The sequence below is a fragment of the Homo sapiens genome, chromosome 15 (assembly GCF_000001405.40).
Source record: "Homo sapiens chromosome 15, GRCh38.p14 Primary Assembly".
Classification (NCBI taxonomy): Eukaryota; Metazoa; Chordata; class Mammalia; order Primates; family Hominidae; genus Homo; species Homo sapiens.
The window spans coordinates 37933517-37948358 of NC_000015.10; the positions used below are offsets into that span (position 1 = coordinate 37933517).

The 14842-nt window shown below is 39.0% G+C and overlaps 1 protein-coding gene across 10 annotated transcripts in view; it reads left to right on the forward strand.

Moving 5' to 3' along the window:
* The window catches only part of TMCO5A (transmembrane and coiled-coil domains 5A), a 106226-nt gene continuing 92507 nt past the window's right edge, over nucleotides 1124-14842 (forward strand). For 6 of the 10 annotated variants that reach the window (NR_163585.1, XM_047432176.1, XM_047432177.1 and 3 more), the window contains exons 1-11: nucleotides 1124-1178; nucleotides 1741-1832; nucleotides 2798-2947; nucleotides 3331-3454; nucleotides 3830-3880; nucleotides 4642-4713; nucleotides 7633-7689; nucleotides 8155-8214; nucleotides 8675-8739; nucleotides 9825-9882; nucleotides 14140-14180. Coding sequence is in view for 8 of the 10 variants with exons in the window: in XM_047432176.1 (XP_047288132.1) it covers nucleotides 2808-2947; nucleotides 3331-3454; nucleotides 3830-3880; nucleotides 4642-4713; nucleotides 7633-7689; nucleotides 8155-8214; nucleotides 8675-8739; nucleotides 9825-9882; nucleotides 14140-14180 (668 nt within the window). In the remaining 2 variants the exon portion in view is untranslated. Of the gene's footprint in view, nucleotides 1179-1740; nucleotides 1833-2797; nucleotides 2948-3330; nucleotides 3455-3829; nucleotides 3881-4641; nucleotides 4714-7632; nucleotides 7690-8154; nucleotides 8215-8674; nucleotides 8772-9824; nucleotides 9883-14139; nucleotides 14181-14842 lie in introns of all 10 variants that reach the window. The other 4 variants (NM_001370737.1, NM_001370735.1, NR_163584.1 and 1 more) reach the window with 3 other exon arrangements.

Sequence of the window (14842 nt, forward strand, 5' to 3'; positions counted from 1 at the left end):
TCACTGCCCAATGTGCTGGAAGCCAATACTATGACACAAGGTTTGTGAGAAAAAAAAGGCTTTTTACTGTAGGTCTACTAACAAGGACACAGGAATCCAACTCAAATCTGTCTCTCTGTGCTGGCTCTCAGGCAGTACTTTTATTAGAAAAGGTTTAGGGAGTGGATTCTGGAATTAGCAAATGACTGGTAGAAGAAAAGGGGAGGTCTGGAAAGTCCTCAGGCATGCACGATTATCTCTTCATGCCTCCTTATGGGTCCCATGTGCAAATTCAGGGGAAATTAGTATAAAACATGCAGTGGAAATTCAAGCTGTGACATCAGTAAGCTTGTTCTGCACAGACTCCAGTTGGCCTTATTGGTTCCAACCAATTTCAGCTAGGTTTTTTGTTTTGAAATCTCTCAAATAGAGGGAGTTTCAGCATTTCAGCAAGTTGTTTATTTTCTTATCTGCTATTCTGCAAGCTCAAGAATTTGTTAGTCACTGGTTTCTTTAACTCTTTGGGGTAAAATTTCAGCAGTCTCCTCTTTTATCATATCAAGTAAAAATAATTTTATTTATTTTATTGATTGTGTTACCAGTCCCCCCTACACACACGCGCGCGCGCGCACACACACACACACACACACACACACACACACATCTTAGAATATAAACTTCATGAGGTCAAGGGCTTTTGGCTGCTTTGTTCATTCTTTCCCTCCAGTGCTTAGAACAGAGCCTAGAAGATACACATCGTGTTCATTCAGTGTTTCACTGTTTGTTGAATGAATGAGTAGTTAGTTGGCTACATGATGAAATTAGACTGCTGGCCAAAAGACCTAGACTTTCCATTTTAGTCACACTGAGGCAGGAAGAGAGCTTTATCTGCCAGAGAAATAAAAGATAGAGGTTGCCCCTTCAAACAGCCCAGAAATCAAATCCATTGAACCTACTGCTATCCAGGGAAGACTTGGCCATGAAATCCACACACTTATCTAGGCTCTGGACTCTACACAAATGATGAGAAACCATTGCCACCCACCCCACTATGACATGTTGCCCCGCCCATCCTATGTCATGACCTCTCAGAATGTTCTGAGATTCTATTGGATAGTTCCAGTGGAGAAAGATTAGACTCCTCAGAAGCTAATTGACTAGGGAAGGATCAGGAAGACAAGACACATCAAAAAGGGGAGGTAGAGTTTGTAGAAGAAATAAAGGGGAAAAAAAGAAACTAAGGGGAAGGGAGAGACAAATGATTTACATATACTTGGTTTTCTGAGCCCTCTTTAATACTAAAGATCTTAATATCTGGAAATTCTGGCATAAGCAAAGATAGAGAGCAAAGATTACTTTTCAGGGATATTGTAAACCTACATCCATGCCCATGGGGCTTTATGGAAAGCAACTGGCCTAGAGCAAAAAGAGACTTATTGATTATCTCTATTTCTTTATATTGTCTTGTATAAACTTCCACAGGGTTTTATGTTGATAAACCATCTCTGACTATATCTATTAATAGGACGTATATTCCAGCATTATCTCTGTATCCTGACTGTATCTTTAATAGGGTATAATCAGAACACGGGCAGAAGAATCAAAAGGCTGAGTTTTGTCATGGTTAAAATGTGGGGATTAGAGGGAGAAAATGAGTTAACTTAATTTGATTTCTACTTTTTGGGACTCTTCCCTAGTTACTGTATTCATAAATGAACCCATTTCTCCAATTCATTAGATACATCTCTGTTGGCATTTTAGGGAATCTACAATGGAAGGACACAAGAAAGATCAGCTGGATTAAGTAGTCATGATTATGCAAAGCCATATCCAGAGACCAAGGTGTAAAGCAGGTTCGCTATTGACCCCTTGCCTCATCTTCCAGCCTCCTTCTCCCCTTCTACTCCTGTTATGCAACCACCTCCGCACCCTACCCCAAGCATGCCATACCTTCCTGAAGTGATTACTGTAAATCCCCCATCCAAGCAAGCCCTTCCAAGATAGGACTTAACTTTCCAATATTATCCTTCATTCCTATCTAAAACAAAAGCCTCTGTGCCTCACTGTGCTAATAGTGGTTAATCAACTGAAACACAAACCAATGAATTAATTTACATTAGTAGAAAAAGAAAAATATATCAAGAGCCTCCCATGTACCCTTCCCAAAATACTCTAGAGTTACCATTATTTCATTTAAATTTACTTCAAAAAAGATATTTGCATTTTTGAAAGCTATGCCTAGAGCCTATGTGGGTGTGCTCAATGGAATTACTCTCATGGTAAAAATTTCAAACTTTGTAGCAGGCAAGTGAGGGAGAGGTGTTGAGGTGGGAGAAGGAAGGGAAAGATTGAAGCCCTATCATGCTGGTGGAAACCCCTTGTGGCTCTGCAGAAAGCCAGGCCCAACCAGAAGTGATATGCCAGGTGCTTAGATAAAAGTGTTCAATAAATGTGTATTGTATGAGCAGGTTTTGTGAATAGTTTATCTAAGAAAAGATTGCCAAGAGAAACATTTCTCCCCAGCGCAAGGGGTTATTTAAGGAAGCAAAGCTTCTCAAGAAACCAGAGTGAAGGTGCACTGTTAGATTGAGCACTTTGGAGGAGAAAGCCTGGGAAAGACCCTTGCTGACTGAGCTGCGAATTATCGAAACAGTTGTAGAGCATGATCAAGAAATGTAATTTTTCAAGAATGAAAATGGTATGCCCCCAGAGAGAGTAAGGTTAATAAACTAGATGTGTTCTAAATACCCTTTTTGGCCTGATGATTATTGATCTTGAGATAACTGGCCCTTGTTCATTTTGGGGGCTGAGTCTATAGGTCGGAGAAAATGGAAATCTCAAGATTGGCTCAGTCAAAAAGAAACATTATCAGTTTGAACATGGACCTTGAAAGGGATACGCAGAGAATAGATGAAGCAAATCAGAAACTTCTTCTCAAAATCCAAGAGAGGGAAGATAAGATTCAGAGGTGAGTATTAAGGTTTCATGAGGGAAGTTCCCAATCCAAAGAAGGGGTGGAGGACCAAAACCAAAACTGAATTTTCCTGCTTGTTCTAGAGACTTCTACCTTGTGTGGCAAAAAGTTAATTTTTCATTCTTTGACATTTCTCTTGAACACTGAAGCATAGCAAGTTTCAAATAGATTCCTAAAAGATGGAGTTGAGAGAACACTGGGGTGTTTGGCTTAGGAATCAGGCAGGTCTTCCTGCTTTATGGATTCAGTAAGGAAGAGTTTTCAGCTTGAGATTCATGTACACTGTCCCTGAAGTTCCCTTATATCTGAAATCTGTGTTTTATCAGTTCTGAAACTGCCAAGCATGGGTCCTCATGGCATGTGCTTGTGTTGTCCAGGCTGGAAAGTGAGATCATTCAGACGCGGGGCCTGGTGGAAGATGAAGAGTGGGAGAAGGAGAACCGCACCACGATGGAAAGGGAAAGAGCCTTGCAGGAGCTGGAGGAAGAAACAGCCAGACTTGTAAGCAAGAAGTTGGGAAGAGCCATTTAATAGGTTGCATTCCTCATTCCATCCTTCATCAATTATCAGATAAGCTTGTCTCTCCTTTTTATACATGAACAGTAGCCATCTCAAAAGTCATGATAAAATTTGTCCATGCGTGGAAGGGGATGTGTCTGGCTTCTTGGGCAATGTTTAATCATTGGGAAGCCCTGCAGATGGGCATCTATATCCCTGTATTTCACCTGTGGTTTGATTTCAATATACACATGACATTATGCAAATAAGGTCAAGTTACTGCAGGAAAATATAGCTGGGGTGAAATGGACAGCAATCAACTGAATAAGAACAGATGGAGTACAGAGGCAGATTTACACTGTTATTTCTCTCTCACAGGAAAGGAAGAATAAGACGTTGGTCCACAGTATAACAGAACTTCAACAAAAGGTGAGGTAGGGTACTTGTGTTCTCCAGTGCCCCCACAACAGCCCCATTCATCAAAGGGGCAAGGTTTGGGGGAAGTGATCATAGAGGAACCCATAAGTCAGAGAGGCCTGTATGTGGAGTGCATATTACTCTCTAATCCACTCTCCTGAGGCCAAGGTTCATGACCTAAATGTTAGGGATTTTCTCTGTAGGCAAGAGGGAAAAGGAATGGATGGAATATTTAGTAATCTCATGGGTTCTTCATTCTATCACCAGAAAATGGATTCCAACAGATACTCTGTTGAAGTCATTGACTGGAACCTTTGCAGTGAGAGGTTAATTTTACTTTCAACAGAGACCTTTTAAACAACAACAAAAATAATTAACTTAATCCCCAAGGATTTCCTTTTTCTTGTCTAGCCATTTCCAATGCCTCAATACCTCCTCAGAATACAGTGGGCTTCCAATGACTACCCTACTCTCTGACCCATGAGTATAAAGTAGCCTTCTACTGTAGGGGGCTGTATCCTTGAGTAACCCAGTGCGAATTAGGGGTTCAGGAAAGTACTCCTGCTTTGAGTGGACTCTAGCATCAGTGGCCAAGACTAGTGAGAAGAAGACAGAGGTAGAACAAAGATGTTTCCACAGGTCACCAAATATCTACCAAAGGACCATATCCTGGAAAGGTTTATAAAGGCCATAGTTACTAATCTCCACACACCAGAGAAAGTCTTTGCCTTCTACACCTTTTAATTTAGTATATTTTTTATTTGAAACTATAGCTTACAAGGAAATCACAAAAGATAACCAATTGTGAACAAAGCAGTCCAGATGGAGCCCTAGAAGAGACAAAGGTAAATGAAAAAAACAATCCTAAATGTGGTTGGGCTATGTAACCAGGAAACAAGCTGTTAAGTTGGAAATCAATGTCAACGTTGTGACAAATTCTTGGTAGTTTTCCTCCATGTCAAGCTTAAGCTTGAACCACTGGAGTGCTGAATTCTTCTCTGCCCTTAGGTAAGGAATGTCACTTTTTAGTCTTATTTATTGTTCTCTCTTCTGTTAGGAAGAGCAGGGCACAAATGCATATGTAAAATTTGGGGCAGTTAAAGTCCCCAGTTTAAAGCCACAGAAAATAATTTGGTGTGTGAAGTTGGGTAATTTAATTACTGCCTCTCAGCCTCAGTTTCAAGATTAAATGAAATTGTGTATAAAAAATATTGTCTCCTTTTCTGGATGGCTGCAACTTCAAAAAGTTGTGTGAGTTTTACATTATTATTTAAAATTCTTGCTGAGGTGCATGTATGAATTCATAGAGGCAGAACTAGGATTTGTAAGTCTACTGAGTGCTCGGCAATTTATGTACCCTGTCCTGGATTCCAATCTAGAAAAGGGTTCAATTAGTCACTCAAGTATTTAGTATGACCACTACCTGCTAAGCACATCATACTCTGCTTGGCATGTCTCTAATTGTGTTCCAGAGCTAAGAACCTGAGACCAACCACAACCTATCTGATGAGAGAGAGAGAGAAATTTCTTGTGTATACTCATGGGGTACAAGTGCCATTTTGCCAACACTGACATACTGTGTTGCAGAGACTTTATTTTTCTTCAGAGAGCAGATAAATTTTTTTATTATTATACTTTAAGTTCTAGGGTACATGTGCACAACGTGCAGGTTTGTTACATAGGTATACATGTGCCATGTTGGTGTGCTGCACCCATTAACTCGTCATTTGATTTTTTTGACACCTTCTCTAGAATTACATCTTTGTCCTTGCCTTATCTAACTTCTCTCTACCCTCCAAAGCCTGCACTTGGTTGTGTGTATGAAGCCTCTGAAAATTTGGATACATAGAAAATAGAAATAGAAAATGAAAGTATGGAGAATTACTCCCCTATCTTCTGCTGGCCAATTTAGTTTTGATGACCACAAAAATAGGAAGTCTAAAGCCACCAAATAAGCTTGCTTGGCTGTGCTAATTCAGGTAAGTTATCTGGAAAGAGAGAAATCAGGAAGAAATTGGAGCCAAAATTAGGAAGAGCTATAAAGACCCCTGACTGAACCTGCCATCTGATTGCAGTGGTCAGGACACTGATTTTCTTCCAAGATCACCTCTTTTTCCCAGAAAATAAGACCAGCCAGAATTGAGTGGTGACACTTTCAGTCTGGCTGCACTCACATTGTCAGATGACAGAGAACAAAGTCTAGTCTTAGTCAGAATAATGGCCATTATTTTGCTGGCTAGCCCTAAAGAGTTCAAGAATATTGTTTAATCCTTTGAACCACTCTTTGCCCACCTATTTTAATGAATTATCAGGTGATATCTCTAATTCTGTGAATGTACAGAATCTCTTTTGCTTCTGTTCCTCTGGCATGCTAGTAATCAGTGCAGCAGCTTAATGGGGTGCCTAATTCAACCCTTTGTGACTCACACCATTGGCTTGAAACTATATATCCCTTAGCACATTTGGCTAACTGGTCCTGGATGTAACTGACTGAAGAGTGAACCAACTCTCAGAAGAATCTGGATGTGAAATAATGGCACCTAGATCAAAGTGGGAACAGCAGAGCTGAAAAGGGAAGGAAGAATGGTCATGTCTGCTCTTCTACAAAATTATCTCCCAAATGCATCCATTCCTCTCTACCACTTCTGTTACTACTATCCTTTTGCAAGCCACCATAACCCCTTACCTGGACAACAGGAGTCACCACTCAACCAGTCTCCCTGCTTCTACTCTCACTCCCAAACAATTCTTTTTTCCAGACACAGAAAAGGCTATTCTCTAAAAACACAAATCAGATTGTGTCTTTAGACTTCAAGCCTCTCCTGCCTTCTCACTGCAATTAGAAGAACCGAAATCCTTTTAGAAGCCACAAGGCCCTGCACAATCTAGCCCCTGTCTACCTTATCCCACCCTGTCTCGGCCCTACCTACCAATTTCCCTTATGCTCTGGCCACACAACTCCCTCATATAAGCCAAATCTGTGATAACCTCATGGTCTTGGCCCTTGCCATACCCTTCACAGAGAACATATTTCTTCCAAATCTCCATTTAGCTAGCATTTATCATTTAGACTTTAGCTCAAGTATCATCACATCAGGGAGGCCTTTGCCAACCACCTACCACCTCCTCTCACACCACCACTACCATCACTATCTTTAAACATTAATTTTTTTTCCTTCATAGCACATACCATTATCATGTAGATGTATTTGTTGTGTCTCCCTACCAGAATGCCAGCTCTGCAAGGGTGGAAAGCTGGTCCATCCTGTCTACTACTGTATCCTAAGTACTACCCCCTGCCACCTGATACACACATGCTTCACTCCAGCATAGCAGCTGATATAGAATGGTCTTTTGCCAAGTATTGAAGGAAATAAAAGGGTGAGCAAGGCATACAGGGAGGGAGAAAGGAGTGAACAAACACCTTAGAGTCTGACTGACTATATTAAAAGGAAAAGGAAGAGTGAAGTTTTTCAAAACTGGTATTATTTTTAAGAGAAATGGCTAAGTAAGAGTAGGAAGCTCAGAATTGAAGTTTAGGGGTGAAGCTAGCACCAGATGAAGACTAAAAGGTAAGGAATATAAAAGAGCAAGTTTACCAAGCAGCTGCAAACGGTGCTGGGTGGCTTAATTCCTCTATCAGGAGACGTGTGAAGTCATGGCCCTGAGGCTCCTCACAGCTCGTGAGGCCACCTTGGTGACAGCATTCCATTCCTGCACAGCTTTTACCTTGCCAAGTTAGCAGTCTCTTTTGCTTTCTTTAGGTTAAGTTACAACAGCTGGAAGCTTCCTATGCATGCCAAGAGAAGGAGCTGCTCAAGGTAACAGCAGGAACTTCAATGTGACTTCTCCCCAAAAAGGGAAATGTGATCTTTGGTCAGGCAATCTATTTCTCAAGTGATTGATTTACATTAAGGTTCCAGATCCAAGACCATGATGGGGCTAGGGAGGGGTAAAGAAAAGGAAGATAAGCACAATCCCTGAGGTTGCTTTCTCTTCAAACATTTTTTTACAGAATACACTCTACAGTTTGTATCTCGCAAATATTAGTTATCTATCTATTCCTCTCCCAACTGCCCCCAAATTCCACCTTTGACCAATAACTCCCATTTAGCTTTTTTACCCTAAAAAAAGGAAATACATTTATCTGTACAGCAAAAAAGAAAACATATTTAGAACAATTAGAAAACCACATTTAGGACCTGGGACCCAAGAGAAAACAAGTATGCTTGTGTTCTTATAGCAATTTACCGAAATATATTTACAACTAAATTTTGATTTCCTAGGTAATGAAGGAGTATGCATTTGTGACCCAGCTCTGTGAAGATCAAGCCCTCTACATAAAGGTAGAGCTTCTTGGTAAAGGGATAGCAAAGGGTTTATTAAGGTACAGGATGAAATAGAACAAGGATTTTCAAAGACTACTGTCCAGAGCAATTTCAACAGTTCAAGGTGGCACTACTAGGATACTTTAAGGTCATCAGCACCCCACCTCACTATCAATATCACTCTATTTGTCTTTGTCTCCCTGGGAATTCCTGCCCTGCTCTCCCACTCTCTGTGCTGTTAAGTTAATAATTCACACTTCTGCTATTTATAATGTCAATGATGCCCAGAAACCTGTCCAGTGGTAAGGCATAGTGAGAGATCAAGAGTAGTAGGGGGGTGAGTTTTATGAAAGCAGAGAAAGTGGCAGTGGGAATACCAAGCATTCATGGTATCATGTAATAACAAGTGCTTATTATGCTTAGAAAAATTGTAAACCTTCTAAGTAGTAACTGTGGCTTTCTTTGTTTCTCTTTGAAGAAGTACCAGGAAACGTTGAAGAAAATAGAAGAAGAACTAGAGGCTCTGTTCCTTGAGAGAGAAGTGTGAGCTTTGGCAAAGGAACATCCTGGTTTTGGTAGAAACTCCATCTCAGCCTGAGTCAGAGCAAACAGTTCTCAGACCAATTTCTATTTGGAATTGAATGAGTCCCGACGCCACATATCTTTGCCCTCTGTTAGTGATCTGGTTGACCCCAGTAGATCACACCAACTTAAAACTTCCAGTCATTCTCCCATCCTTCTAAAAAGACCACAGAAACACATCTCCCTTCGTAATGTTATCACATTATCACATTATTATTCGGGTTGATATTAAGAGTAAAAACATGTACTTTAGAAAGAGTTGGTGGTCAGTCACCTTGATAAGTAGGGTATTCCTTATATATCACAGAAAGGCCTTTTCATTAATACCATCCTCACTTCCCCCAAATATATGGACACCCAACCATAAGGGATAGGCATGAAACTAATCTCTAGACTCATACTACAGCTACCACATTATATAAATCAGAACTGTACACTGTATTGAACTACGAACATTTAAAATTAGAGATGGGAAAGCACTCCTCAAAGTACAATGAGTTTGTCAAGAGTCTAAATGGTGAGAAATCCAAACCAAAAACCTCATCTCCATTTCTTGACCCCCTCTGTAAGTTAAATCTTAATGCAGTCAAGAAGTATTTCTATTTATGAAATATTTTTAAATCCTTAGATCAAGAACAAGAGATCAAAACTGCATATAGCCTCTCTCTATATATATATAGTCCAGGGTCCTAGGACTTGTAGGTCCTTGCCCCTAAAGGACACCTTCAAGTCACTCAAGATCCCTGCTGAACATTGGTTTATGGCTTAACTGTTAAGCCAAGATTCTAGAAAAGGTTGCCCAGTAGAATTTTCTGTGCTAGTTAGTAGGTAAAACTAACTACATATGGCAATTGAGTACATAAAAGATGTACTCAACTGAGGAAATTAATTTAACTTTAATTAATTTAAATAGCTATAGGTAGACAGTAGTTACAATATTGGACAGTACAGATTTAGAATATAAAGCTTTTTTAAAATAACCATAGTGTAGTATGAATATTTCAGTGCACTTTGTTCAATTTCTGTCCTGGCTGTTATCTTCATAGATCAAAACTCGTGAGCATGAACCCTGTGGAAAAAGAGCATACCAGCCAAAATAATGAGGTAAACACTCCATTCTCTCTTCAGCTCCTCACAGTGTCATTGCCTTTCAAAGCCATCTCCAGCAAACTATAAGGCACCAAATATATACCCAATCTTGCCATGCGCATTTTCCAAGAACAGTACCAGCTATAATTACAGAGCATTCCAACCCTAAACAAACAAACTAGACTCTAAGGAACAATCTACTTTCTTCTCATTCAGCCATACAAATAACAGGCTCTCAAAAAACTAGCCGAAGACCTAAGAGAACTCAGAATGGAGGCAAGAAGCAACCTTAATTGAGGGTATGCTCTATAGAAAGAGGCCAATATAGGGCACATACACCACCTCTTCCATCTCCTACAATCACAGTACTCTTTCCTGATGATCTTGACATGGTTCCTAATCTCTCACAACACAGAGCACCCACCATCTGTCATCATCTAGTCAGAATTGGCCTGTGAGTTAAAACATAGAACGCTATTGCTTCTTTGTGACAGAGTTTCAGTGTCTGTTCATATTTAATATAGCAAAGCCACCAGCACACATGTAAAGGTCTGAAGGAAAAGAACAATTTCATACAGAGCACCAATCCTCTTGGCCTGCTTGATGTCTTGTGGCAGCAAGGATAAAAGGTTAAAGTTAAACTTTGGTTGGGCTTTAATTTTGTAATTTATATTGGCTTTAGAGTCCAGGTTGACAAACATCAGAAATTACAGATAGTCAAGATAAATACTTAGAAAAGAGAACTAAACACTTCCTTAAAAGCAAATATCAAATATTGGCCATTGTGTTTGGGTCATCCAAATGTTTGGATATATGTTAGGCCATGTCCATGGTTCTTAAGAGTACTGAACAAGTCATTCTGGCCCCGAAGCTTGCATATTCTGCTTAGTAAACAAAATCCCTGAAATTAACTCGACCCACTTCTGTAGAACCAAGTTTTTGACATCTCCAATGTGTCCTACCATCTCTCCCCACAGCTCATCAAAATATTCCTTCTAACTATGTGTCAGAGGAAAAAATTAAAGTTGTCTACATCAAGCTCATCAGGGTCCCATGATGGTTCAATGACCTAGTGATGTCTGAGCAACTTTGGAGACAGGATGCCTGAGAACTGACTGTTTGGCAGGCCATGTAATCTTACTCAAACTATAGATCAAAATTTGTAATCCTAAAAGTTTCTTTCTAATTCAAATTCTGTAAGCCTCTTTTCCACAGCTCTAATTTTTTTTAGTAGAAAGATGAAGTCTCACTATGTTGTTCAGGCTGGTCTTTAACTCCTGGGCTCAAGGGTTCCTCCCACCTCAACCTCCCAAGTAGCTAGGACTACAGGCACCCACCACCATGCCTGGCTGGCTCTAAAATGTGATCATAATTCCTCTTTTTATCTCACAAGGAAGGTTAAAGGACAATGAAATAACTGAGAAAATATTTTGAAACCAGAATGCCACAGAAATACAGGACATAGCCTCATCTTTAGATTTTTTTTTCTTCAACTTTTAAGTTCAGGGGTACATGTGCAGGATGTGCAGGTTTGTTACATAGGTAAACGTGTGCCATGGTGGTTTGCTGCACAGATCATCCCATCACCTAGGTATTAAGCCCAGCATCTACTAGCTATTCTTCCTAATGCTCTCCCTCCCACTACCTCAACCCCACTGACAAGCTCCAGTGTGTGTTGTTCCCCTGCATGTGTCCATGTGTTCTCATCATTCAGCTCCCACTTATAAGTGAGAACATGCAGTGTTTGGGTTTCTGTTCTTGGGTTAGTTGGCTGAGTAAAATGGCTTCCAATACCACCCATGTCCCTGCAAAGGACATGATATCATTCCTTTTTATGGCCGCATAGTATTCCATGATGTATATATATCACATATTCTTTATCCAGTCTATCATTGATGGGCACTTAGGTTGATTCCATGTATTTGCTATTGTGAACAGTGCTGCAATGATATTTGTGTGCATGTGTCTCTATGATAGAATGATTTATATTCCTTTGGGTATATACCCAGTAATGACATTGCTGGGTCAAATGGTATTTCTGCCTCTAGGTCTCTGAGGAATTGCCACACTGTCTTCCACAATGGTTGAACGAATTTATACTCCCAGCAACAGTGTAAAAGCATGCCTTTTTCTCTGCAACCTCACCAGCATCTGTTGTTGTTTGATTTTTTAATAATAGCAATTCTACTGGTGTCAGATGGTTTTTCATTGTGGTTTTGATTTGCATTTCTCTAATGATCAGTAATGTTGAACTTTTTTTGTGTGTTTGTTGGCTGTATGTATGTCTTCTTTTGAGAAGTGTCTGTTCATCTTCTTTGCCCACTTTTTAGTGAGGTTGTTTTTTTCTTGTAAATTTGTTTAAGTTCCTTGTAGACTCTGGGTATTAGACATTTGTCAGATGCATAGTTTTCAAAAATTGTCTCCTATTCTGTAGGTTGTCTGCTCACTCTGATGATAGTTTATTTTCCCGTGCAGAAGCTCTTTAGTTTAAGTATATCCCACTTGTCTAATTTTGCTTTTGTTGCAATTGCTTTTGGCATTTTCATCAAGAAATCTTTGCCCATGCCTGTGTCCATGGTATTGCCTAGATTTTCTTCTAGGGTTTTTACTATTTTGGGTTTTACATTTAAGTCTATAATCCATCTTGAGTTAATTTTTGTATATTATGTAAGGAAGCAGTCCAGTTTCAATTTTCTGTATATGGCTAGCCAGTTTTCCCAGTATCATTTATTGAATAGGGAGTCCTTTCCCCATTGTTTGTTTTTGTCAGGTTTATTGAAGATCAGATGGTTGTAGGTGAGCAGTGTTATTTCTGAGTTTTCTATTTCATTGGTCTATGTGTCTGTTTTTGTACTAGTACCACGCTGTTTTGGTTACTGTAGCCTTGTAATATAGTTTGAAGTCAGGTAGCGTGATGACTCTAGCTTTGTTCTTTTTGCTTAGGGTTGTCTTGGCTATTAGGGCTCTTTTTGGTTCCACATGAATTTTAAAATCATTTTTTCTAATTCTGTGAAAAATGTCAATAGTAGTTTAATGTGAATAGCATTGAATCTAGAAATAACTTTGGACAGTATGGCCATTTTCATGATATTGATTCTTTCTATCCATGAACATGGAATGTTTTTCCATTTGTTTGAGTCCTCTCTGATTTCTTTCAGCGATGGTTTGTAGTTCTCCTTGAAGGAGTCTTTCACTTCCCTTGTAAGCTGTATTCCTAGGTATTTTATTTTTTTGTAGCAACTGTGAATGGGAGTTCATTCATGATTTGGCTCTCTGCTTGACGGTTGTTGGTGTATAGGAATGCTGTGACTTCTGCACATTGAATTTGTAGCCTGAGACTTTGCTGAAGTTGCTCAAGATGCTTTTGGACTGAGATGATGGGGTTTTCTAGATATAGGATCATGTCACCTGCAAACAAAGATAATTTGACTTCCTCTTTTCCTATTTGAATAGCCTTTATTTCTTTCTCTTTACTGATTGCCCTGGCCAGAACTTCCAATGCTATGTTGAATAGGAGTGGTGAGAGAAGTCATCCTTGTCTTGTGCCAGTTTTCAAGGGGAATGCTTCCAGCTTCTTCCTATTTAGTATGATATTGGCTGTGGATTTGTCATATATGACTCTTATTATTTTGAGTTATGTTTTTTCAATACCTAGTTTATTGAGAGTTTTTAAAATTAAGGGATGTTGAATTTTATCAGAGGCCTTTTATGCATCTATTGAGATAATCATGGGTTTTTGTTTTTAGTTCTGTTTATGTGATGGATTATATTTATTGATTTGTGTATGTTGAACCAAACTTGCATCCCAGGGATAAAGCCAAACTTGATCACTCATCTTTAGATTTTTTATAGCTTTTAAGACTTATCTCTTAAGATATGTTTATATAGTTTTCTTAGCCTATAAGCTTCTCTAAGGGTCACTGGCTGAGCAGAAGATAGAATGGTATAGTTGAGAGAGCCAAGAATGTGGAGTCAGAGTATCCAGGTTCCAGGCCCCATCCTGCCCCTAACTGGCTATGTGACCTTGGGCAACATCCTTTGTCTTTCTGTGCCTTAGTTTAGTCATATAAATATGTAAAAAGGTAGGACAAATAACAATAATAATAAACATATTTTAAAATTTTGGCCTGAAAATTATATGTGCTTATGCATATAAAAAGAATTTGTTAAAGTTATCTAAATAACATATAACTAATGGCTCACTAAATATTATTGGATGATGATAATAGCCTCCAGAAATTGCTTATTTATCAATATCCTTTCTTCTTCCAGGGTACTCCTACCCAAAAGACAGCAAGATTATTCAGTAAAAAGTAAGTAAAATATCTTCAGGTAAACTTCCTATAAAATTGGGAGCCCTATTTAGCTATTCGGGCAGAGGGAAAAGTCTAGACAAGGAGAGCCTTGTATATGCGTGTGCACACATACACACACACACACAAGTCAGCAAACTAATGTCTTTGACTGTATTTCTCAATTCTAATGTTATGACTTACTTGTTTAAAGGTAATTAATAATCTCAACTTTCCATTATTAAAAATCAACAGCCTTGTGGTATTAAGAAATAGAAATTTGATTATGTAAAAGAGATGTGGCAGATCTCTTATTTACTGCCTTTTCCCTTTAACAATTTGGATTAGCTTGATGTATCTGGTTTCCTAGTACCATTGGTAGATTAGAATGAAGACTGTCACATGCTAGTATACCACTGTCTAATAAGAGATAGAAGAGAGACAAGCATTATGAGAAAGAGCATCTAACAGTATCCAACACATAATGGTTGCTTGAAAATACTTGTTAAATTGAATAAAAATTTAAGATTCAAATACCTGAGTAGATATTCATCCTGAGGGAATCACTGTGATAGCAAAGTAAAATTGGTATTCACGAAGCTCCTACATTTTCAAGAAAAGGTCAAATTATATTCAATATAATCTGTTTAAGAAGGCATAAAGAAACATATATTCAAAATGGT